Genomic DNA, 25,945 nt, shown 5'->3' with positions numbered 1-25,945 from the left:
ATATGCTTGATAGAATTTTTTATTTTATTGTTGGGATAAAAACTAAAGCTCACCTACATCAATATTATCATTTCATGAAGCTGGTAATGGCTCTTACCTCATATCCCCAACTCCTTTTCACCAAATAGACTGCTATTTGCTTTACTATATCCCTGGAAAATTATCCTTATCTTGCCTTTCAGCCAAGGTAATGAAGCTTTATCTTGCACTAGTATATTATTATTATTATTATTATTATTATTATTATTATTATTAAGCTCCATTCTGCTTCTACCATTTCCAAGAGGGCTTGATCCCTAAGAAATTAGGCTGAGTTGTGGAGTCAGCTGAACCTAACTTGTAACTCACAGAGTTACAAGATGTTGGACCTGTTCCCAGTGACAGGGGAAAGGCAAGATATCTGAGTTTTTAGCCTGAGTACCTGAAGTAAATGTATCTACAACAAAGGGCACACTGAAGCCAATCAATAAAAATATTTAATGTTACATATATTTAAAAGTTTTAGATGAAATGACACATAAAATCATAGAACACACACACACGTCTAAGTCAGACCCTAAGACAAAAGTCAGGAACTCAGCAGTGTGGTGGGCTGGATAGTGGTCCCCAGTTACATCGGGTCCCAATCTCTGGAACCTGCCAATGCTACTTTACATGAAAAAGGAGACTTTGCAGATGTAATTAAATTAAAAATACTGACATGTGGAGCTTACTCTGTAATCACATGTTGCCTGATAAGAAAGAGGCTGAGGGAGATCTGACACAGAGAAAAAAAAAGGTAACATGAAGACAGAACGGAGAAAGATTTGAAGATGCTGGCCTTGAGGATCAGAATGATGCAGCCACAAACCAAGGAAAGCTTGCAGCCAAAAGAAGCGAGAAGAGGTAAGACAAGTATTCTCCCCTAAACCCCTGAATGAGGTGCAGCCCTACTGATACTTTGATTTCAACCTGGTGATACTGATTTTGGACTTCCAGCCTTTAGAGCTATGGAAGAACAAATTTCTGTTGCTTAAGCTACCAAGTCAACGATAATATGTTTCAGTAGCAATAGAAAACTAATACAATCTCTTCTCTCATGGATCTGACAGTCTAGAAGAGAAGACAGAAAGTTGCATACTGACAGTAACATATGATGGTTGATAGGATATGAAAGAAAAAGGTGCTTTGAGAACATATTACCAGGAGGCCTAATCAAGCATTGGAGGTCAGAGAGTACCATACTGAAGGTGCTTAACATGAGATCCAAAGATTTGAAGTTAGTAGCAGTTACATGACAAGGTACAGGGTAATCATGGAAGTATGTTCCACTCAGTGCAAGGTCCATAGAGAGCACTGCATATTCTAGCCCTGAAGCTATCCCAGTGGGCCAGATCCTGGAGCAAATTGAGTGGGAGAGAATGAGGTGCAAAGGCAGACAGACTATATAATGCAAGGACTAGTAACCGTGCCGAGGGACTTAGAGATCATCTGAAAAGCAATGGAAAGCCACTCAAGGTTTTCAAGTCAGGAGATGATGTATCAGATTTCAGTTTTTAAGGTAGGTAATTTTTATTTCAATGCAAAGAATTTCTGGAATTGAACTGGAACAAAACCAATTGGAGAGACTGTGGCTGTTATTCAGGCAAAAGATCATTGTGGCTTGTACCAAGACAAAGGACAATGACAGTGAGGCTAGAGAGGAGGAGTGAATACTTGCAAGAAATCTTTAGGCAATAAGATGTTTAGTTGGTAGAACAGAACTCTGTGGTTGATTGGATATGGGATCTGTGAGAAAGCAAAGACTCAAGGGGGCTTTATTTACTGAGGTATGGAATGCTGAGATTTCAGGATGGTAACTATGAGTTTGATTTTAGATGCATTGTGATTGACATAGCGGTAGAAAATAAAAATGGAAATATTGAGATGGCAACTGGAAATAAAGATATGAAACACAGAGTGTCAGTCTGACCTAAAGAGGTAGAAGTGGGATTTACTGTCTAGAAGGGGAAAAAGAGGAAAAGGGACAGAATAGAGACCAGAGACACACTCAGGAAATGTCAGTCCTTGCAATGCATCCCCAAGATGAGACTCTGTATCCATCAGACAGCTCTCCATTATTCAAAACCTTCGCAGTGCTGGGATTACTTTTTTATTTCCAAAAGTTTCTTAAAGAACATGCTTACACGGTGCCTCACAAGTAAACTTATTCTTTTCGTTCAACAATGAGATGATAGATATTGCAGAAATAAAAAGATGAACATAAAATGGTAACTGCCTCCATTGTTCACAGTATTAGAAATAGATACGCTAGATATTGTACATAGGTAGAATAATACCCATGTGAATGATGTGGCTAGCATTTATTAAGTGCCTGTTACATGTCGTTAGGTGTTTTGTTTGGCCTTTAAATTGGAGCAGTGATGAAAACAGAGAAGGACCTTGTACTCAAGGAGTATATCTTCTAAACAAAGTACTTTGAGAGTAGAGAGATGAGAGTAGATACTGGGTAATGTGCATTGGAAGATAAAGGGAGTCATATCTTCTCCCAGGCCAGGGGAGTGGATGGCAAAATTGAAGAAGGCTGCTAAGGCAAGGTGACTTGTGACTTGAAGTTTGACAAATGAAGAGGAATTCATCAGCTAATGGGGAGGGAAGGGCATAGAGAGCAGGGCACGTAAAATAATGATTCAGAGATGAAAAAGTACATAACATCATCAGAGAATGGGGAACAATTTATGTAGCGGAAGCCTTGTAAATTGGAGCCCGATTCTGAAGAATCTTGAATGCCATGCAAAGCAATTTGAGCTCCAAATATTTTTAGCCAACCAGGTATAACCTTTATTTTTTTCTGGTCCAGTTAAATCTGTTAATACCCACAGACAGCAGAACACTCAGCATATTATAGGTCACTTGATTAATCCAGTGTAAGCCATGCTCCATCTCCACAATGAACAATTAAAATACATAAAATGGTTTTATGCTGTGGGATAAGACTCACTCTTTAAAAATTTTCTAGCTAGTAATCAGGTATACCAGGGGACAAAGTTGATTCTCTATCCTTGAGTTCTTAGGGTGTTGAGACAGTTTCAGGCCAGTCTTGTCTAGACCTGTGAAGCCAACCTGTATGACCACTCTAGTCTGTTCTGGAACTCAGGATTTTTATGATTGTGAAATCTTGCAGCACATTTAAAGGACAAGCTGACAATAAATTGCTGGAGTAAAACTAAAACAATGCAAGGATTTCATTTCATATTTATGTCCACCTTTACGGTGCTTTTAAAATCTGTGACTTTTCCTTTGCTGTGCAAAAGCTTTTGCAGCACCTTGGCATCAGGCAAAAATAAGATACCTTTTGTGGTTCCCTAACTAATAATTTTATCAGCCATTTAGCAATTCAGCTTCAAGCTTCTGCAATATACTTGCTAACCTTTAATTAATAGGAAGCCTTTACCTTTATTCTCACAATGAAAGATAAGATCATTGTCACATGTCAAACAATAGAAAGTTAATTCTGTTTGTCACTGTTTTCTGTTAGAGTGAATATTGCATTTCTTTCCAAGTAGAATATTTATATGGGAATAATTTTACAGCTACATATAACCACAATCTTTCTTCAAAATGATGAATTTCGAAGGCCAAGACTTGTATGATAAAATCTCACTATATAATTTAATGATCTAGAAGAATGGTTGGACCGTTGTTGAATTTATGGACTCTTTGTGTATTAAAAAGTAGACATGAGCTCAGACTTCTCCAGTGATGAATAGGTACAGGGGCATGAACAGCAACTATTCATATAAGGTCAGGGTCTCTTCAAATCATTCCATCTTTGGGTCAAGATGTACACAGACTATTGCAAATTCTCTCATCACCTATTAAAAATGTAAACACTATGAGGTGGTAAAGCCCATTGCTTAAAAGAAAAGTTTCATGGCTTCTTGCCCTTAGCCTGCAGACCTCTTGTGGGATGATGTAGTCCTGGGCACAAACTGGCTTTTAATGTGATGTAGGTCACACTTCAAGCAGACTCGGGAGAGGCCCAAGGGCACGGGCTATCTTTCACTGTGAAAGCTAGGTTCAGGCTTGATAGCATGACCAGCATGAATGACTATGGAACTTTGGGCAAGAACAACAGCCAGCCATGCGCAACTGCACCTGAGAGCTGTTTTAAATTCAGGGATACTGTCCTTGACTTTGAGAAAATATCAGATCCCTCTTTTTCATTCCACGATGACTTTCTTTTTTTCTTTTTTTCTGGTGAACAGGGTGAAAACAAAGTAACATAACACTGCATCAAGATGCGCAGCTTGTGAAAGAAAGAGCCAATAAATCAGATGATTTGCTGTATCTACACAAGGTCAAATTGCAAAACAGATTGACTTTTCTCCACTAAACCGTCCAGCTTGGGACTTATAACAGCTGAACGCTTGGGGAGTTATTTTCAGTCTTTACAACAGAAAATAATTAAAACATTAAATCTCTAAACAGGCTGAAAATAAAGTAACCAAAGACCAAAAATCAAAAAACCAAAAAGCAAACACCAACAAATGTCCTCTCAAATGGTACTTAAAGTAGAATTTTCTTCCTTATTTTTGTAACTTCAACAAAAGGTATCAGGAAAGCTGTGCAGGTAAGTGAAGTTTGGACCAAAACCAAGGGAAATACAGGTAAGATAAGCAAAGTGAATATAATAGAACTGGCATTTATTACGCAGCAAGCATGTGCCAATGAATATGCCAGGTCCTCCACATAGTATCTCAACTTTACACATACAACAGTTCCATGAGATGGATATTTTAATCTTTGTATTACAAATTAAAACTTGAAGTATAGCAAAGTTATATAATTTATGCAACAATGCACAGATACTAAGGATTCAGACGCAGCTGTGGGAAAGCCCTTGTTGTTTTCCCGGGGGTTTCATGCTGCCTCCTCCATCATCTTGTCATCTGATATCCAATCCCACTCTCATCCCAGTGTCCAAAACCTAAGTGAGCACAAATTGCAAATGATTGTTGGACTTTAAGCTTCAAAGGGGGATGCAGGAGAGCCAGAGATGTGGGTGGGTGGGGTTGCCGAGAAGATCTACTAAATGCAAACTCCATTTCTCATCTGCCAGGTTACATCTGGCCAGCATCCAGCGACGCTTTCCCCCACACTCTCCCTCTAACATTTCACAGGACCCATCTCTGAGCCCTTGCCAGAGTCCTTTGCTCCTCCATGAGGCCTCTACAGAGCACAGTCAGCTGGGGCAGAAAAGGAGGTGAGGGAATGGAGAGACTGTGCTGGGTTCCGCACACTGCCAGCGGGCTAGAACTAAAGACATTTTCATGCTTACCAAAAATCCCAAACTTTCTCAAGTTTGGTTAAAAAAACAAATTTGAAGAAAAACAGAATCCCTGGAGACAAGATGACTTGTTTTAGAAAATGCTTTCAGAATTTATATTTTTCAATAAATGAACCAAGAATTCTATAAAGCAAGACTTTCTCAAACTGAAAGGAATGCCCCACAACGTTAGCAGTTTTATCTCTGGGTTAACAAAAGCACTAATTATTCTTTTCCAAATGCTGTCAATTTTATGTTTTCTAAAATGAGGACTTATTGTTATCCAATGGAAAAAATAAGAATAATTTTCACTTGAAAAAGCAATAGTTAAAAGTTTCCCCTCTGACAATTTCACTCTGAAAGTACTTTTAGGGAACACGGTGATATACACGCTGTGCAATATTGCTTTTGAGATTATCTTAAAATCTTAAAGTGGATTGAGATGGAGATTGAGTTTCCTTGGTCAATAAATTTCAGTTCAGGGAGGAATTTTCCTCAAGGCTTCTTGGCAGGAATCTTACATACTTTTCACCTTTTCTTGGGAGAGTCCTGGGCAGGGTTCTTCCTCATATGTTCCTATCTATCAATTTCTCACATTTGACAGAAATACCACAGGACAAGAATTCAGCTTTTCAACCCAAAATGCCTGAAGCCAGCACACGCAGCTCCTCCTAAATCACAGAAAAATGCCTGAAAAAGTCAACAAGAATTCAAATTAAGGGACAGAGAGTGAATCACCCAGAGAAAAATGTAAATAGCTATTATGTCAATTATGTTTAATTTTTTCTTAATTTTAGAATAGTTTTACATTTGTAGAAAAATTACAAAGAGGATACAGAGTTCTCACATAGCCTACACCCAGCTTCCCTTATTATCCATCTGATATCCAATCCCACTCTCACCCCAGTGTCCAAACCTAAGTGAGCACAAATTGCAAATTACTGTTGGACTTTAAGCTTCAAGGGCGATGCAGGAGAGCCAGAGACGTGTGTGGGTAGGGTTGCCGAGAAGATCTACTAAATGCAAGCTCCATTTCTCATCTGCGAGGTTACATTTGGTCAGCAGCCAGCGATGCTGCACTTTCCCCCACACTCTCCCTCTACCACTTCACAGGACCCATCTCTGAGCCCTTCGCAGAGTCCTTTTATATTTACATTAGGGTGGTACATTTGTCACAATAAATGAAACAATATGTATATATTATAATGATCTAAAGTCCATATTTTTTCCAGATTTCCTTCATTTTTTACTGAAGATTCTTTTCTTTCCCAGGATCTCACACACAGTCCGCACTACATTTTATCCTCGTGTCTCCTGAGCCTCTGCTTGGCTGGGACTGTGTGTCAATTACATTTTAACCTTTTGAAATCTGGAAGAGCTAAAGGGATGTTGATGTTGTTGTTGTTAAACACTTTACAGACTTATGTATGACTAGACATTCTCAGGAAGGTATCTGAATCCCTAAGACATATGTAAGTTACCAATATCCACGTAAGTGCTAAGCAAATTAGAAAACAAAAGAAACGTCCAGCATATTCACAGATCAATGAGTGTGCTTTATTTCATGCAGCTGTCTGATAACTTTTAGGTGGAGAAGCCCATCTGGTTAAATCTGGTTGACATCCAGTGCATTTTAAAAAGCAGAATTCAAAGACAGCGCTGGTCTGCCCCACAGGAGAAAACAGAAATCTGTCAAAGGCCTACTGTCGTAAAGGAAACAGGATATACAGTGTCATCTGACACACAGCACCTAGCATAGTGCCTGGCACATGTGTTGAAGGAATAAATATAAATGAATAAATGCAGTCTTAGAGGTGACTGTGGAGAGGGCCCCCACAGCAGAACTTAATTTCAAAGGCTGAGATGATTCACGTGCAAAGTGAAATCTACCATCAACTCTAGAAGAGCAGAACCTCAGGGGACTGTGATTTTTTTTTTTTTTTAGCTTATGATTTTAAAAAGACACACACCACAGAGGTGAAGGGCATATCATAAATTGCTTCTGCTTACTAGATGTGGAGCCTTTAGGAGAGTTATTTAAACTCTTCGAGAGTTAGTTTTCTCATTTGCATAATGCAGATGGTAATAGTTCCTAAGCAGACTTGCTGAGAGAATTAAAGAAGAAAATGTCCAATTTAAGAGTAGCTGCTTGAGTAAAATGGCAAAAGATACCTTCATCATCATTATCATTATCTTCATCATCATCTTTGCTAACGTCTTTGTCAAAGATGAGAAAACACTCACTTTAATTGCTACTCAAGGCTATCACATGCAAAGTAGGGACTATTTTCTAATCGCTTTCTCTTGACCATCATCTCTCTCCAGCACAGAATTTTCACTTCTGAAGCAACTACATAATATCCTGTCATCTGTCTGGCAAATTTTTAACCATCCTTTGAAGTGCACGCAAAAAGCATCTCTTCTGAAAAGCTTTCGTATGCCCCTCTTTTGGGGCTCCCTAACACCAAGTTAGTATCTCCATAAAACTCTTAGATTTTTTTTTTTTTTTTTTTTTTTTTTTTTGAGACGGAGTCGCTCTGTCTCCCAGGCTGGAATGTAGTGGTGCGAACTCGGCTCACTGCAAGCTCCGCCTCCCAGGTTCATGCCATTCTCCTGCCTCAGCCTCCCTAGTAGCTGGGACTACAGGCGCTCGCCATCACGCCCAGCTCATTTTTTGTGTGTTTTTTAGTAGAGACGGGGTTTCACCGTGTTAGCCAGGATGGTCTCGATCTCCTGACCTCATGATCCACCCACCTCGGCCTCCCAAAGTCCTGGGATTACAGGCGTGAGCCACCGCACCCGGCCTTACTTTAGATATGTAAATTCTGCCTCACATCTATGCCTCTGACCACTTGGTTGGGAGCTACTGAAGAACAGGGATGGAAATGTGTTCATCTCAGTACAGCCAGCACCCTGCATACCGTCTCTATTAGTTTTCTAGGACTGCTGTAACAACGTACCACAAACTGGATGGCTTGAAACAACAGAAATTTATTGTCTCATAGTTCAAGTCTCAAGTCTAAAACCATGATGTCGGCAGGACCATATTTCTGAAGTCTTGGGAAAGAATATTTCTATGGCTCTTTCTGTTTTATGGCGTTGCAGGCAATCCTTGGCATTTCTTTCTTTCTTTCTTTTTTAGATGGAGTCACACTTTAGGCTGGAGTGCAGTGGCGCAATCTCGGCTCACTGCAACCTCTGCCTCCCGGGTTCACACCATTCTCCTGCCTCAGCCTCTCGAGTAGCTGGGACTCCAGGTGCCCGCCACCACGCCCAGCTAATTTTTTGTATTTTTAGTAGAGACAGGGTTTCACCTTGTTAGCCAAGATGGTCTCGATCTCCTGACCTCGTGATCTGCCCGCCTCGGCCTCCCAAAGTGCTGGGATTACAGGCGTGAGCCACCACACCCAGCCTTTTTTTCTTTTCTTTTCTTTTTTTCGCGACAGTCTCACTCTGTTGCCCAGGCTGGAGTGCAATGGCTTGATCTTGGCTCACTGCCTCCCAGGTCAAAGTGATTCTTCCGCCTCTGCCTCCTGAGTAGCTGGGATTACAGGCATGCACCACCACACACGGCTTATTTTTGTATTTTTAGTAGAGACAGGATTTCACTGTGTTCGTCAGGCTGGTCTCAAACTCCTGACCTCAGGTGATCCACCGGCTTCTGCCTCCCAAATTGCTGGGATTACAGGCGTGAGCCACCACGCCTGGCCAATCCTTGGCATTTCTTAACTTCCAGCTGCATAACTCCAACCTCTGCCTATGTTTTCGCAAGGTGTTCTTCCCTCTTTGTGCCTGTGTCTTCACATGGCGTTTTCCTCTCTGGTTGTCTGGTCCAAGAGTGCTTCTCCTTTTCTTATCAGGTCACCAGTTATATCGCATTAAGGGCCGACCCTATACCAGTACAACCTCACCTTACCTTACATCTCAATTACATTTTCAAAGACCCTATTTCTAAATGAGATCACATTCTCAAGGACCAAGGGTTCTTTAACTATCAACCCACAACACTGTCTAACACACAGCAGGTGCTATGTGATGTCCTAATAAAAGAGTGGATGGATCCATGACTAAATAAACAAACCTAGCCTTCTGATAACCAGATACAGACATTCAGGTGGTAGCTCATTCTTCTGTAACCACAGCTATGCTTTAAAATCCTGTGGTTTCTTGGCACTCACAGAAGTCTGCCATTTAAAATCTATGATTAGATAATCCTGTAATAAATCTCTCAGTAATTCCCTTCCAGGGTCCTGTATTTGTATCCAATTATGAAAAACCCAAGCCAGGGCCTCAAAGGCATAATTTTAAACCCATTTTTTTTCTTTCTGAGTTAGCTACTGCAGAGAGCATACTAATTATATAAGTCTCCTTTCACCTGTAGAACGTTCTGACTTGAAGACAAACCACTTCTTTGTAACCACATCCAATTTGGAGAGCAGAAGAAACTGACAAGATTCAAGACAGAAGCCTGCTATTAGCTTTTCTCAGTTCTTAACTTTTTAACGTATGTAATTAGCTTCTTCATTTTTCTCACCTTTTCCACCATAATAGATGAAAATGAAAGGAAGTACTGCAAATTGTACAAAAACCTAAGGTTTATGATACACTGGATTTTGACTTGCACATTTCCATTTCTTTCATCTCACTTCAAAATCATCAGGTGGTGGCAATGGCTTCCAAGGTATTGAGCCCAAACTCCTATTAGATGTTGCATTTCCTTGGCCAGCATTTGCCCTTTCCTCAACCCTTACTGACTTACACCCCTTCCCCCCACACAAGATTTTCCTCAAGCCAGTAAATGAAGAGCACATGCAGTCAGCTGTTTTTTCTTTTTTTCTTTTTGAGACGGAGTCTCGCTTTGTCGCCCAGGCTGGAGTGCAGTGGCGCAATCTTGGCTCACTGCAAGCTCCGCCTCCCGGGTTCACGCCATTCTCCTGCCTCAGCCTCCTGAGTAGCTGGGACTACAGGCGCATGCCACCATGCCCGGCTAATTTTTTGTATTTTTAGTAAAGAGGGGGTTTCACCGCGTTAGCCAGGATGATCTCGATCTCCTGACCTCGTGATCCGCCCACCTCGGCCTCCCAAAGTGCTGGGATTACGGGCCTGAGCCACCGCGCCCGGCCTTCAGCTTTCTAAATCTCCTATTCTTCAACCCACTTAGCCAGCATGTTATGCTAGATTAGGTTATCTTTTTGCAGCCCAGGGAAACATGAAAAAAAGTATCAATATTGGGATTAAATAAATGATTAATGTCGCAGGCAACTTTATGCACGTTTACTTGTACTTACAAAAACAGCAAAGCATGACATCCTAAAAACTGTTTGCAACTCTTCTACTAAGGCAGAGATACACAAGTGGAGCAGAGTAAGGAATGATGCCAGCATTTGGAAAACAAAACAAAACAAACCAAAACATAATTCTGATAGATCCTTTCTGCAGAATGTGAAATTCTAGTGTTTCTTAGAATGCGTTATGGCTTGACCCAACCTCGTCTAAAGAGACTGGTTCTTGGTCCAAAATATAAGCTGACGGCTTAGCTCCATCACTTTGCTGGATTTAAAAATAAGCAAGATGGATAATACATTTCTAGAAGAAAATATAACTGGGAATAGCATCATTTAAGAATTAAAATAGCAGCTCCTGCTCTTTTTTTGGAACACTGATTATATGTCAGACTCTGGGCTTAAGATTTTATGTACAATATTCATTTGCTTCTGTGAAATAGGTTATTTTTTAAGTTACATTGTACAGATGAGAAAACCAGATTTCAGATAATTTAATTACTTTGTGCAAAATGACACAGATAAGTGGATGAGCCCAATTTCTAATCCACATTTATCTGATCCAAACGCTCATGTTCTTAAGAATTTGCCATATATAATATACATTCCCATGGCTCAGAAGGCTAAGGACAGGATGACCACAATAAGCAACCCTATTCAGAAAGGGAAGAGTGAGAGACACACAGCAGAACTAATTCTGCTGTCAGATTGAGCACCTGTTACGTTGAGCCTTGGTGAGGGGTTGTGGATGTTCCTAGGATTTGCCCGTTCTTCTCTCTGGGAGGGACTCTCCAGTCTCTTGCTTTTCTTGGTCTTCCGCTCTTCTGAGAAATTTTCCCTTTTCTATTATCTTCCATAACAACATCCTAAGTAGGCATTGGAAACTCAGCCCTCCCAGGGGTTAAGCATCTTCCTCAGTCAGCTTTCTAATCAAAGGATCTAGGCATTCAAGGCCTGTTTTCAATATCAAATAATCCAACATCTTAGTCCACATCATAAGAATGTAATTCACTTATAGAAATACTAGTGTTGAATCTACTGATTCTGACTCTAGTCAATTCCATGTGACAACATTCACACCCATAGTTCTTCTTTATACATATTTTAATGTTCGTTCTATTTTTTTCACCACCAGTCCTTGCCCTCATCTAATGCAAAGTACCACAAATTTACAAGACTTTAATGAGGAAGTCACACATTTACTATTGAGACATTTTGTCTAGATAGAAGGTTAAAGTGCACACCACCTCTTCATTGAATTTTTACTCTTATTAAACCTTAGTCACTGATTTGTCTCTTGTTAACAGGTTGAGTTTTAATTGGCCACTTTTGACTCTATGTCTTATCTTTTACCATATGAGGCTTAAAAATTCACTTCTTACTGCCCCATAAAGCTCTGAAATATCTCTGTTCCATTTTATTCTTGCTTGTATACTGGCCACTTTTTCCTAAGCTCATCCCTTCTCATAATAACTCAAAAGCAGTCAACAGCACCCAACCTCTTCTGCTACAGCTACAATTCTGTTATGTGATTTGTCTTCAAGTTATCAAGGGCAACAATTTCAGCAAACTTTCACCATTGCCTAGCTCATCATCTTTCAAGCTTCAAATACAGTTGTTGTTGGGTTTTGTTTGTTTGTTTTTGTTTTTTTGTGAACAGCCAAATAGTCACGGTGCCAATACCTCAAATTTTAGATTTCTGTGATGGTGGTGTCTCATTTCTAAGTACTAGTTATTCCTTCAACAGGACTGACAAATCAGGTCTTGATTCTTAAAGCATGGCTCCGGAAATATGTATCACTTATGTTTGCACTTCAATGATCAAAGCAAGTCATATGGGCCACACCTAATAGATAGGAAAGTGAAATACTACCCACCATGTGCCCAAGAAGAGAGCCAGAAATAATTGGAAGATAGCACTAACGTCTACAAAAACACTTGAGAAAATTAACAACAACTATCTATTATCATCTAAAATCCAATCTATTCTGTTTGGTTGTTCTTTTTGTCTATCCTTACAGTTATAACGTATTGTCTTAATTACTATAGCTTCTAATGATTTCTGATGTTCAGTAAAGTAAGTCTTCAGATTTTGTGGAATCTTTGCTATTCTTGGCACTTTTCAGTTTTATATAACTTTTAAAGTCAACTTGCCAAGTTTCATATGAAAAAAATCAGTCTGTTGGGATTTCAATACAGTTTATATTAAATCTTTAGACTGGGTTAGGGAGAAATAATATCTTTACAATACTGAGTCTTCAGTTTCATTAATATAGCATGTTCTTCCATTTATTTTTCTTTATCTTAATGATGTTTTATATCTTCTATATAAAGTTATGCATGTTTGATAGATTGTTTATATGTATTTGAAATTTTTCATGTTACTATGCATTATATCCTAAATGGAAATAGTACATTTTATTTCTAATTTGTTGTTGATGACTTCGAAACAGAATTGGTTCTTGTATGTCAAATCTGTATCTAGCAACCTCGGAAAATCCCCTTAGTAATTATTTTTATATTTAGATTATTTTGGATTGTCTATACATCTCATCTGTGAATAACAGTTTTAATTTTTATTTTCAAGCTTTATAACTTTTGTTTTGTTTTCTATTATCGAGCTGACTAGGTACTAGAGTCCAATGATGAATTGAAATGTCTAAAAGAGCCATCCTGTCTCTCAGTCTCAGGGGAAAGCTTTCAACATTTCAACATTATGTACAATGATGATTCTTAGTTTTTTGTAGACAACTTCTAACAGATTAAATAAGTTCCTTTCCATTATTACTTCATCAGAGTATATATTATAAATTATACATTGAATGTTATCAAATGATAACATTCCTAGAATTAACTAAACCTGGTTTTCAAGTAATATTCTTTTATATATTACTGAATTCATTTTGTTAATATTTTACGAATTTTCGTGCACTGGTTTGTGAGAGAAAATGAACTATATAGAACTATGCATAAATAATATGCATAACTACATAAAAATAATATAACAATAAAAAATTTTTTAGAATATTTATTTTATTATGGTATTCTTGTTAGGATTTGGTATCAGGCTTAAGTTGGCCTTATTAAATGGGGTAGGAAATATTTTCCCTTTTCTTATTTTCTGGAATATTTTCTATGATATTGGAGCCATTTCCCAAATAAATGTTTGATACATATTCCAGTGAATCTCTCTGGTTTGTAATTTTCTCAGTGGGAGAATTTGAAATTACTGATTCAGTTTCTCCATGGGTATTAGACAATGCAGATGTTCCCTTTATATGTTTATTCATTTAGGCTGGGTGCAGTGGCTCACACCTGTAATCCCAGCACTTTGGGAGGCTGAGGCAGGAGGATCACTTGAGCCCAGGAGGTCAAGACCAGCCTAGACAACACAGCGAGACCTTTTCTCAAAAAAGAAAAATAAATAAGTTAATTAAATAAAACGTTTACTCATTTAATCAAAATGTTCAAATATATTAAAATATAGTTAATTATGTCATCTAATAGTTTTTCTTCTAATGAACTTTAAATGTCTGCAACATCTGTAATAGAAATATTCCCTTTTTATTGTTGACATTGGTTGTTTTTGCCTTATCTATTTTTTCTTGATCATTCTTGTCACAGAGTTATTAATTGTGTTAGTCTTCTTAATGCACCAATGTTTGACTTTGTTGACTCTCTTTAATGTATGTTAGTTTTCTATTTTATTATTTTGTCTTACGATCTTCATGCTTCTACATTTTAAAAAATTAAATTTGCAGATCTTTTTCTACAATCTTGAGACAGATGATTGGATAATTAATTTTTAGACTTTTAAAAATATTTTCAGCAAAGGCTATGTATTTCCCTCTCTATGAACATTTGGCTGCATCCTATCATTTTTATAGTATTCCATTCAAAATATTTTCTAATTTCCACTTTGGTCCACAAGTTATTTCAAGTGTATTTTTTAATCCAAAAACATTAGTTATTTTCTTTTTGTTGTTGATTTTTAGCTTATTTTCACTGTGGTAAGATAAAATATTCTAAAAGATTTCAATTCTTGGTTGTTGAGACTTGTTTTGTGGCTCAAAATAATTTTTTAATAGGTGAGCATTGTCTCTGTTCTTGAAAAGACTATGTATTTTGCAGTTCATTGGTTGCAGTATTTTATGTGTATAAATTAGATTCCATTTGATAATCATGTTATCCAAATATTCATGCTTAGTAATTTTTTGTGTGCTTTTTCTGTTAATTACTGAGGGAACTGTGTTAAAAATCTCTTAACATGATTATAAATCATTTTTTATCATCTTAGTTATGCTTAAAGTATTTTGAACCTTTGCCATTAAGACATACATATTTAGAGTATTTAGGTCTCCCTGGTAAATTTAAGATTTTATTATTAAGAAATATCACTTGATCTTTAAAAATATTCACCTTAAATCCTATATTGTATGATATTAACATTGTTATACCAGCTTTCTTATTATTAAGCTTTGCATAAAATATTTTTTCTCTTTACTTCCTGAATTCTTAATTTTAATGTATCTCCTATAATAATCACATAATCCTGTTTTAGTCTACCTAAAATATTGCATTCTAATTGAAATATTTCATCTATTTTCATTTAAGGAAAGTACTGATACACTTGATTTTAAATTTACCACTTTATTCTTATTATTTGTCTTACCTGTTCTATATTACTACTTTCTCCCATTTTTCTGTCTCTTCTGGATTGAGTGGTTTTTATTATTCTACTACTCTAATAACTCATTTGTTTAACATTATTTTACTACTATTTAAAGAGCTACCTGGAGATTTCAAAAAATACTCTTGGTTAATTATAGTCTAGTATAAATTAGTATTTTAATTTCATCCTAATAATTCCAGAAACTTGAACCCCATTTTTCTTATCCCAATATGTGTAGTATATTTTTGTTTGTATATACTGTAGCCCTAACAAGACATTATATTATCTTTGATTTATAAACTCAATATTTCATTAAGATATAATTGTATATTTATTCTTTCTTTTGCTCTTTATTCTTTTTTCATCTCCAGGTTTCCATATGGTATTATTTTCCTTCTGATTGAAGATGCATTAGTATTTTCTTTAGTAAGTCAAGCAAATACCTTTTCACCCTATTCCATATCTCCTTAGCCCACTCCTGATTTTAGGTCTACCTGTACTGAACAGGTTTGCACACAATGACAACATCCCATCTCCAGTGTCAGCTATGTCTCTGTACTTTCAGAGTCAGTGCATTTGCTAAAGTCAAGGGTGCTTACTCAGCCTACCTGCAGAACAGCCCCAGGTATGACCATGGAGGCTACCCTCATCAATTCTCTGTCAACTTTTTCTTTATGTAATTTGAAACAATGATATTAAATATATACTATTAGATTTATATATCCTCTTGAATTTATCCCTTTAGCATTATGAAAATGGCGGTCATTATCATCAGTATTCTTTTTACTAGTATTTGCACTATTTGTCATTTTAATGCTTTTAATTACAACCTTTGTTTTTATATTTGAATTTTGTTTTTTATAAACAACAGATAGTTGAGTCTCTTTAACTTTTGCATTTTGTGGTTTTACGATGATACATTTAGGTCAAGATTGCCTCTCCATTTATTCTACTCAGATTCCACTGGGCTATCTAAATTTAAAGTTTGTTTTCTTTGAACAATTTTGAGAAATATTTAGTCATTATCTTTTTGAATATTGATTTTTCTCCCATTCCTTTTCTTAATTCCTTCTGTAACTCTTATTAGAAATGCTGTGTATCTTTTATATAGTCCTCTGTATATTTTTATGCCTATTTAATGTACTTAATCTCTACATTTCTTTGACTGCCTTCTTGACAAGACTGAAATTATCTTCCAGTTTACTAATTCTCTCTTCAGTTGTGTTAAATCTTCTCTGTAATTAATCAATTTTGTTTTTTGACATTTTATTTGTATTGTCATACTGGAGGTTCTATCTTATTATTTCTAAAACTTATTTTGTTTTTATAGACCTTTGTTCCTTTTTCATGTTTTCATTTATTTAAACATTAAACATCATTATTTTATTTTGCGCCTCTGATATTTCTATTAACTAATTCTGTAGAGTGTGCTCTTTCTGCTAGCTTTGCCTCATGGTGGCTTATTTACTTGTGTGTTTTCTGATATTTTTTGTGAGCTCCTCATCTTTCTTGGAACTTTGTCTATGGGAACACCTTGAAGCACACTTTGAATTTGCTTTCCTTCAAAAAGCATTTAATGATTGACTTGCTGATCACATATTTTTTCATCATGTGTGTAGTGGAAGAATTTTTTTCTCTCTTCTGTCAACGAGTTCAAGATGGTCAAATCCCTTGGATGTCTCCTTCTATGTATCAGGTTTTCCCTTTTTTTTTTTTCCTTATTTATCCTTCCCTTAAGGATGTAGCTCTCTTGGGCTCAACTTGATGCTAGTGTCTCTTACTGGATTCTCCATACCGAGTAAGCCCTAGGATTTATCACGGTAATGTACTTTTCGAGGTGAAAGTACAAGGCTCTTAGTGTTTGGCAAGGTCATCATCTGTCTACTGGAATCAAGGGTGTACAAAATGTTTGGCTCATCCTGGTGATGTTAACACCCACTGATATTCTTTGCCTAGATCAATTTATTCATTAAAATTCACGGAAGAGTGGTATTTTTATAGTAACATTGTTTACTCCTTCTTTCACTGTAACATTTCTATAAGGAGAAAATGCTCCCTCATCAATCCTACTTCATTACCCTGAATAGAGTTGCCAGACTTATCAAACCAACAGGATGCCTAGTTGTTTAAGTTTCAGACAAACCACAAGTAATTGTTTAGTGTTAAGTACAATATTTGGGACATACTTACACTAAAAATTTGTTAGTTGCTTATCTAGGCATTCTGAATTTTATCTGTCAAACCAAACTCTGACATTCATACATTTCACGTATTTTTTAGAAACAGGATAAGTGCTTGATTCTCTTACTTCATTTACCAGTTACGATGATAATAAAAATGAGTTGGTTGGAAATGATGTGGAATTCTCAATGTATCCTCTTTTAAAAAGTTATTATAAATAGAATATTCACAAAAATGGATATATTATTTCATTAAAATAGACAAACCCTAAAAATTTGAAATAACAAAACTGCATTTCTAATAAGTTAAAATAAAGCTAGAAATTAATAATGAAATCGGAAACAAAAAACCCAGGCACAGCCAAGCTCAGTGGCTCATGCCTGTAATCCCAGCACTTTGGGAGGCCAAGGCAGACGGATCACAGGAGGTCAGGAGTTCGAGAACAGCCTGGCCAACGTGGGGAAACCCCATCGCTACTAAAAATACAAAAATGAAGGCATAGGAATGACACAATGGACTTTGGGGATTCAGGGGGAAAGAGTGGGAAGAGGGTAAGGGATGAAGACTACAAATTTTGTGCAGTGTGTACTGCTCAGGTAATGGGTGCACCAAAATCTCACAAATCACCACTAAAGAACTTACTCATGTAACCGAATACCACCTGTTCCCCAGTAACCTATGAAAATAAAAAAATATTTAAAAAAATTAGCCAGGCATGGTGGTGGGTGCCTGTAATCCCAGCTACTCAGGAGGCTGAGGCAGGAGAATCACTTGAACCCGGGAGGCGGAAGTTGCAGTGAGTCGAAATCACGCCACTGCACTCCAGCCTCGGCAACAGAGAGAGAACCTCCGTAAAAAAAAAAAAAAAAAAAAGGCAGCTGAACATCAATATTTTCTTAAAGAATAAAGATTTGCTATGAAAGAATGTATATAAGTCACAAGAAAAAAATTACTACACAGAAAACTTAGGAAATGTAGCCAAAGTTGTAAATCAGAAGATAATCCATAGCCTAAGAAACCAAAGTTTGCCAAATTTATTTGACTACAAAACTTATGTTTTTCGCTATTATGTACTCACATCTCATAAAATTAATGCTTCACAATAAAATTACTTTGTGCAATTAAAGAAGACCAGAGTTTGGGTTGAGGGAGTGAAATAAACGCAGGATTTAATATAGTTTTTATTGGTTTGTTTTAGGCTTACACTGAATAACATTCACACAAAATTCCTAAGCCAACTGTAATGTGCAAAATAAAAGAGGAAATGACTCCATGTTATGTGCTCATTGCACAGTGAATGAATGAATATCCACCCAGTAATACTGGGAAAACCTGCTACTTAGGGGAAAATGGCATTCCTCTGACACTATTAGCACATTTTTATGTAGTTTGTGGTTGAACTCTGATAAATTTGTTGACATATCTAAGCATTGCAAAGTGATGTCAATCCAAGAGCAGAAAAAGTTATGATTTTTGTGAAATCCTTCTGCTTAAACCCCTCCAATAACTTGCCATTTCACGTGGAGTAAAAGCAAGTCTTTTCAGTATCCTTCATGGACAAACCTACGTGATCTCCCAGCCCCCGACCATTCAGGCCACTCATCTTTCCTCATGCATCTCCTATTTGTTGCCACTTGCCCACTCTTTTACAAGGACACTAGCTTTCTTGCTGTTTCTAAAACATGATAAGTGCTCAGCTACCTTGGGGCTTTTACACTGCCTATTCCCTCTGCTTGGAACACCCTTCCCCTCAATAATCACGTGACGAATGCCCTAAACTCTTTCAAGCACTTGATCGAAGGTCATCTTCACAGTGAGGCTTATCCTGCTGTAGTATTTAAAGTTAAAAATTCTTTACTTGGCACTCCTCATCTCTTTTTCCTGTTCTGATTTTTACTTTTATATAGTATTTACACCTTTTACCATTGCATATAATTCATTATTTTGCAGCTATTTTCTGCCTCCTCCTGTAGATAGTCTATAAGAGCCAGATTTCTATTTGATTTACTAAAGTATCCATGTGCCTAGAATACTGCCTGGCACATGAGAGATAGGCATTCATTTTACAATGTTCAATAAATACATGGATAATGAACATGCAGTTTGTATTAAGAATGTGAGGGAGAATGGATTAAATAAACTCACACCATGTTTTTCATTTTAGAATCTGTGTTATTTTGAGTTAACATGCTCCACGACCAGATACAAAGGCATGGCCACTGATCCATGGGTGGGAATTCACTTCCACAGCCATCAGGGAAAAGGGAAAAAGAAAAGTATTTTTAACAGTTTGTCACCCTAGGGGATCTCTAAAATCCAGTTTTGATGAAAATCAAATTTCAATAGCACGAGACACCATCTACAATTCTCAGGATCCAGGGATGTTTAAGGCAAATTAATTTGATACAAAATAAAAACAAGACACTACTTGGAATGATCCTCATTAAATAATGTTCCAACCTATTTCCCACAGCTCTTTAGTTTTTCAGAGAAGATTCTCTTTTGCATATTCCAGTTTCCTAAAGGTTATTCTTTCTATTTCCTCTTCTCCAATGCCTCTGGCCAGATTAGAAAGTGATGACCGAAGGACCTTTACAATTCAAAGAATAAATCAAAAATGTCATGCGCATCTGAATTCACCCTGTTAGCCCATCTCTCTTATCAGACCCCATATCCTTGGGAATGAAATAGCTGGAGCCAACCCCATGGGAACCACGCATGTCCATCGGTCTCTGATTCGCCAGGCTGCTGGAGCAGCGGCTGTTAGCCTGCCATGAATAATGTAGTAGGTGCATGTCTCTGATTTGCTCCTTTATTAGCACTTGAAGGTGAATAGCAAATTTGTTTAATGTCATTTACCATTCTATTCTAAATTTGAGAGAAGTATATAGAATCATTGCATATCTGTGCTTCCAGGAATGTGCTTTTAAAAAATAAACCAGTAATCATTTGTGTAAATTAATATAACTGCTCTGTTAACGCTTCCCCCTTTAATATGTAGCACAGGGTTCTAGGGCTGTCTTCCATCTGTACCTGAAAAGGCAGCAAAATGCCATCGTGGTAAAGGTAACGGAAGGTAAGGTAAAGCGGTAGAAAGACAATAATAATGCTTGCTCTACAGAGCGAGGAGCCACTCTGTGCCAGCCCATTACTGGGAGTTTTCATAAATTATTTTCTTTAAAAATAGAGAATATAAACATACCCCAGAATGTTGATGCACTCAAAGTGATCTTAAATAATATATTACCAAACACATCAAAGAGGCCCTGGGAAGAGAGTCTTCCTCATGTTATGGCTACAGGGGATACTACAGGGGATGAGAGAAACATGGAGGCTCTTGAAAAGCAAAGCTAGGGGGGATTCTGAAGGAGGAGCAAGTCACAAAGCAAGAGGGGCCCATTGTTCATTGTTCTGAGAACTATTTTCTCAATGACATGTCTCTTTCTCCAGTCAAAAAGGTTAAAAAAAAAAAAAAAAAAAAGGAGGGAAGGGAGGAGAGAGGAAAGAAAAAGGGAGGGTAAGGCAGGCAGGGAGGGAGGGAGGAAGGGAAGGAGGGGAAAAGCCAACTCAAATTGAGCCCAGTACCATGCAGATGTTTTGCACAGATTATTTCATTTACCTGCATAGTTACCTTGTAATATCAATACTATGATTGTCCTCACTTATCTGACAAAGGAACCACAGCTTGCTGAGGTTAAGTATTTGGCCCAGGATCACATAGCTAGTTAGTGAGGATGCCCATATTTGAATCAAGATCGGTTTGATCTGAATGTAGAACTCTTCCTTGTTCTAAGTGCTACAAACAAGGGAACGCATTGAGCATAACCTAGTGCCCTCCTCCCTCAGTTAATCCTCTCCTTGGGGCACAAACCTTAATCAGTTGCATAGAGATCAATGCAACAGCTCTGGTTTCCACACACAGTGCTGTCAAAAGCCCTATTCCTTCAGAGAGTTACAGGATGCTTTTAATTTTCCTCCTCACTGGGAAAGCCAGGATGCTTAGAACCAAGTGTTACCTTCAAGTAAACTCACTGGTTTGACCTTTAGGGTTAGTAGGCTGTGTATCTTCTTTTTTCTTATAATTATTTCTATTTTATATTCCTTTCATATTAGTTTTATTATTCTGCCTGTTCAAGTGTCTTTCTGCATGCATGCTCCCTGATCATGAGACACAGCAAACACTGCTAGTTTGGGCTTACTTTGGACTATTCCATTATCACCTGAGCACTTGTGGAAATAACTGAAATATCAGACAAACACTGTGTATCACAATTTTGTCATCACATGGTGTGTAATAAATAGACAGTATTATATAATACATGGATAAATACTGTTTGCAAGTAGCATGAAGACAGTGTCAATTCCTATGTGAGTTCAGCCGTTAAGTGCTCAATCAGATCCCTGATTGGCATGAGATTTCTGCTTCTTCCCAAACCTAGGTGGAGGGGACACAGTAGTATATGAGTGTATCAGTTACGATAGGTCAGGTTATTCCATGGTAACAAGTAACCCCAATTTCCCAATGGCTTTACCAACAAAGGCTCATTTCTCTTCCATACCACATATTCATCACGGGTTCTCTGGGAGCTCTGTTTCCTATTACCCTACTCTTTAACCCAGGCTAACAAAGGAGCCACCATTGGAGACACTGCCCATCAATATACTGGAGGAAAAGGGAGAGTTTCTGACTAGATATAAAACATGTTACCTTCTCTCACATTTCACTGGCAAGTCACTCAACCACCAATATCTCCAAAGAGATGAAGTGCAGTCCTACCAGAGGCCCAAGAGAAGAACTGGAAGAATTTGGTGGGATGATTGTCCCATTACATGAGTTCAGTCTTTGTCCTATCTTTTATGGCAATTGTCAGTTTCCTGGCTCTTTTCCCCTTTGATCCACTTGACATAGCTCCCTGAATTAGTTTGCTAGGTCTGCCATAACAAAATACCACAGACCAAGTGTCTTAAACAGCAGACATTTATTGTCTCACAGGTTTAGAGACTGGAATTCCAACATCCAGGTGTCAGCAGAATTGGTTTCTTCTAAGTCCTCCATTCTACTCTTGTAGATGACCACCCTGTCCCTCCCTATGTCTTCATATGGTCTTTCCTCTGGGTGTGTGTGTGTGTGTCTGGGTTCTAATCTCCTTTTCTTGCAAGGACACTACTTATATTTGATTAGGACTCAACCCTTAGGGGTTCCCTAATCAAATATAAGTAGTGTCCTTGCAAGAAGTTATTTTAACCTAAACATGTCTATAAAGATGCTACTTCCAAATACAGTCACATTCTGAGGTACTGGGGGTTAGGACTTCAAAATGTGAGTTTGGAAAGGACACAGTTGAGCCCATACCAATGTCTTACTCGCCATCATTGTGTAGTCTCTACAGGTCAAGGCCTGCCTTCTCTTTCTCCAATCTGTTTTCTACACAACCACCAATGGGACTGTGTTGCATAGGGCTCAGGAAAACACCTACAAGCATCACTTGGTGCAAGGTGAAACTGCCAGAAGTGCTGACAAAGTGCACAGGTCTCCCATTCTCCTGCCATATTGAGGAAAAGCGTGTTGGGACTAGACATGGCTGGACACAGTGGCTTCCCTTTTTATGGAACGATTGTGAGAACATCCTTGCACAAGGGGACTCAAAATTATGGTTTATGCACTAAGTAGTTTGGACTTACATGCCAGATGTTTAGAGGAGTGTTAGGAAGTACCAGAAGCAAAGCAACTGGAGAGTTTGCAATCCATTAGTCCTAGTGGAAAGGAGAGCCCTGTTCCCTCTAGGCTCCAAGGGCATCTGATAGACAGTCTCTGGTTCACTTCATAGCCGTCTGGTTGGAAACACAAATTTAATTCCATTCTGTTTCCCAAAACATGCCAAAGGTTTCACATTGCTCATAGGATAAAGCCAAACTCCTAACCGTGACCTTCAAAGCCCTGCATAAACTGTCCCCTGTTCACCTCTCCAACCTCCTCTTGAGCCTCTCTCCTCTTGTTCATTATGGTCCAGCCACACTAGTCTCCTTCAGTTTCCTTGAACACCCGGCATTCTGCCCTGCTTTGATGCCATCATACATAGTGGTTGCTAGACCTGGAATGCTCCCCCAATACTCTTTAAATTGCTAATTCCTTCTCATGCTTCAGAGTTAGGTTTATGTCACTTCCTTAGAGATCCGTCTACATCTTCAATGTGAATAATGTCCCCTCAAATTAGCCTTGTTAATTTTTAATCACCCTATTTGTTAGATTTATGGCACTTATCACTATTATACCAGCGGTTATATTTGCACACACACAGACATATACTTGTGTGTTATATAATTTTCTCCCTAATATTTTGCTCGTCACTATACCCCAGCATACAGCAAAGCACCTGGCTTATGTGGTAAGCAATAAATAGAATGGGATTGTTGGAACATTTGATGTTTATGGAATCCCTTTTGAAAGAATATAAAACGTCATGCAGACATCAGCTGGTATTATTCCTGTTAATCATATGAGCCATATTTGCTTAACGGCATTTCCAGAATAGGGAGAGTGAAGGGAAGTGGTAAAAACAGAAAGGCAAGGCTGGGCACAGAATTATCCACTGATGCAACCCCTCACTTACTCCATCCAATTCTTCCCTAAGGAGTAAGTTAAGGAGGCTGTGTTATCTGGTAGCCAAAGCACTGATGTCCACAGTGTTCTCAAGCCAAAGGCCATTCACTGCTGGCATTTACTAGATACTTATGGCTGAAAGGAATCTGCAGCTTTGTCAAGGAGAAGGAGGAGAGTGAGGAACCAAGATGTTATAGATGCCTGCTAGGTGATACTACTTCACCCCATCCTTAGCCACAGGAGCTAAAGATTACCCATTTTACTGATGAGGAAACTAAGACATAGTAAGAAGCCTTGCCTTCGAACACTCATGCAGGTTATAATAGAGTCACAACCTAAACCCAGGTCTCTGTGATGTAAAAACCCACATTCTCCCTGGTGCTTTTCAATCCTCAAAATATCTGGCGGTGCTTTGGTTTAGAAACCACATCCACATTCATTATCCAAGTTCAATCTCAACATGATCTTCCAGCCCAAAAATTATTCTTTCACATGAAGAAAAAGAATATGTACAACAGACAGACTTGAATGAATGAATGAATGGATGGATTCATCTTCTAGAAGGTGAATTGAAAGGACTAAAACTGAAATACACATCACCTAGCTTCAGATCCAGTCCTCTTGCACTGTATTTGAGTTTTGGATGGAGAAAATAGCCAAAGAATCCCTTTTGGTCACAAACTGCTAAGTAAGGGGATAGACAATTTGCTCCACAAATATTTATTTTTGATTTTATTTTTCAACTTTTATTTTAGATTTAAGGAGTACCTGTGTGGGTTTGTTACCTGTGTATATTGCATGATGCTGAGGTTCGAGGTACAAATGATCCCATTACTCAAGTAAGTATAGTACCCACTCGTTTTTTAACCCTTGCCCTTCTCTTCCCTCTAGTAGTCCCCAGTTTCTATTGTTGCCATCTTTATAAGTACCCCATATTTGGCTCCCACTTATTGACAACATGCGGTATTTGGTTTTCTGATTCTATATTAATTCACTTAGGATAATGGCCTCCAGCTCCATTTATGTTGCCGCAAAAGACATGATCTCATTCTTTGTTATGGCTGTATGGTATTCCATGGTATATATGTACCATATTTTCTTTATCCATTCCACCATTGATGGGCACCTAGATTGAGTCCATGTCTTTGCTATTGAAAATAGCGCTATGATGAACATATGAATGCAGGTGTCTTTTTGGTAGAATGATTTGTTTTCTTTTGAATATATACCCAGTAATGGGATTGCTGGGTTGAATGGCAGTTCTGTTTTTGGTTCCTTGAGAAATCCCCAAACTGCGCAGCAGCTGAATTAATTTACACTCCCACCAACAGTGTGTAAGTGTTCTCTTTTCTCTGCAGACTCACCAGTATCGGTTGTTTTTTTGAATTTTTAATAATAGCCATTCTGACTGGTGTGAAATGGTGTCTCATGGTGGTTTTGATTTGCATGTCTTTGATGATTAGCGATGTGGAGCATTGTTTCATATATTTGTTGGCCGATTATATGTCTTCTCTTCTTCTTTTGAGTAGTATCTGTTCACATCTTTTGCCCATTTTTTAGTGGAATCATTTGGGATTTGCTTGATTATTTGTTTAAGTTCCTTATACATTCTGGACATTAGAGCTTTGTCAGATGTGTAGCTTGTGAATATTTTCTCCCATTCTGTTGATTGCCCTGTTTACTCTGTTGATAGCTTATTTTGCTGTGCAGAAGCTCGTTGGTTTAATTAGGTCCAACTCATCAATTTTTGTTTTTGTTGCAATTGCTTTTGAGGACTTAGTCATAAATTCTTTCCTAAGGACAATGTCCAAAATGGTGTTTCTAGGTTTTCTCTTAGATTCTTATAGTTTGAGGTCTTACATTTAAATCTTCAATCCATCTTGAGTTAATTTTTGTATATG

The 25,945-nt window shown here is 37.9% G+C and overlaps 1 long non-coding RNA gene across 1 annotated transcript in view; it reads right to left on the bottom strand.

Annotated features, from left to right (window-relative positions):
* Nucleotides 1-25,945, bottom strand: part of LOC107983974 (uncharacterized) — a 207,567-nt gene that overhangs the window by 47,906 nt on the left and 133,716 nt on the right. The window lies entirely within an intron of this gene.

This window comes from Homo sapiens, chromosome 15 (genome assembly GCF_000001405.40).
Source record: "Homo sapiens chromosome 15, GRCh38.p14 Primary Assembly".
Taxonomy (NCBI): domain Eukaryota; kingdom Metazoa; phylum Chordata; class Mammalia; order Primates; family Hominidae; genus Homo; species Homo sapiens.
This window is presented reverse-complemented; position numbering and strand designations above follow the sequence as displayed.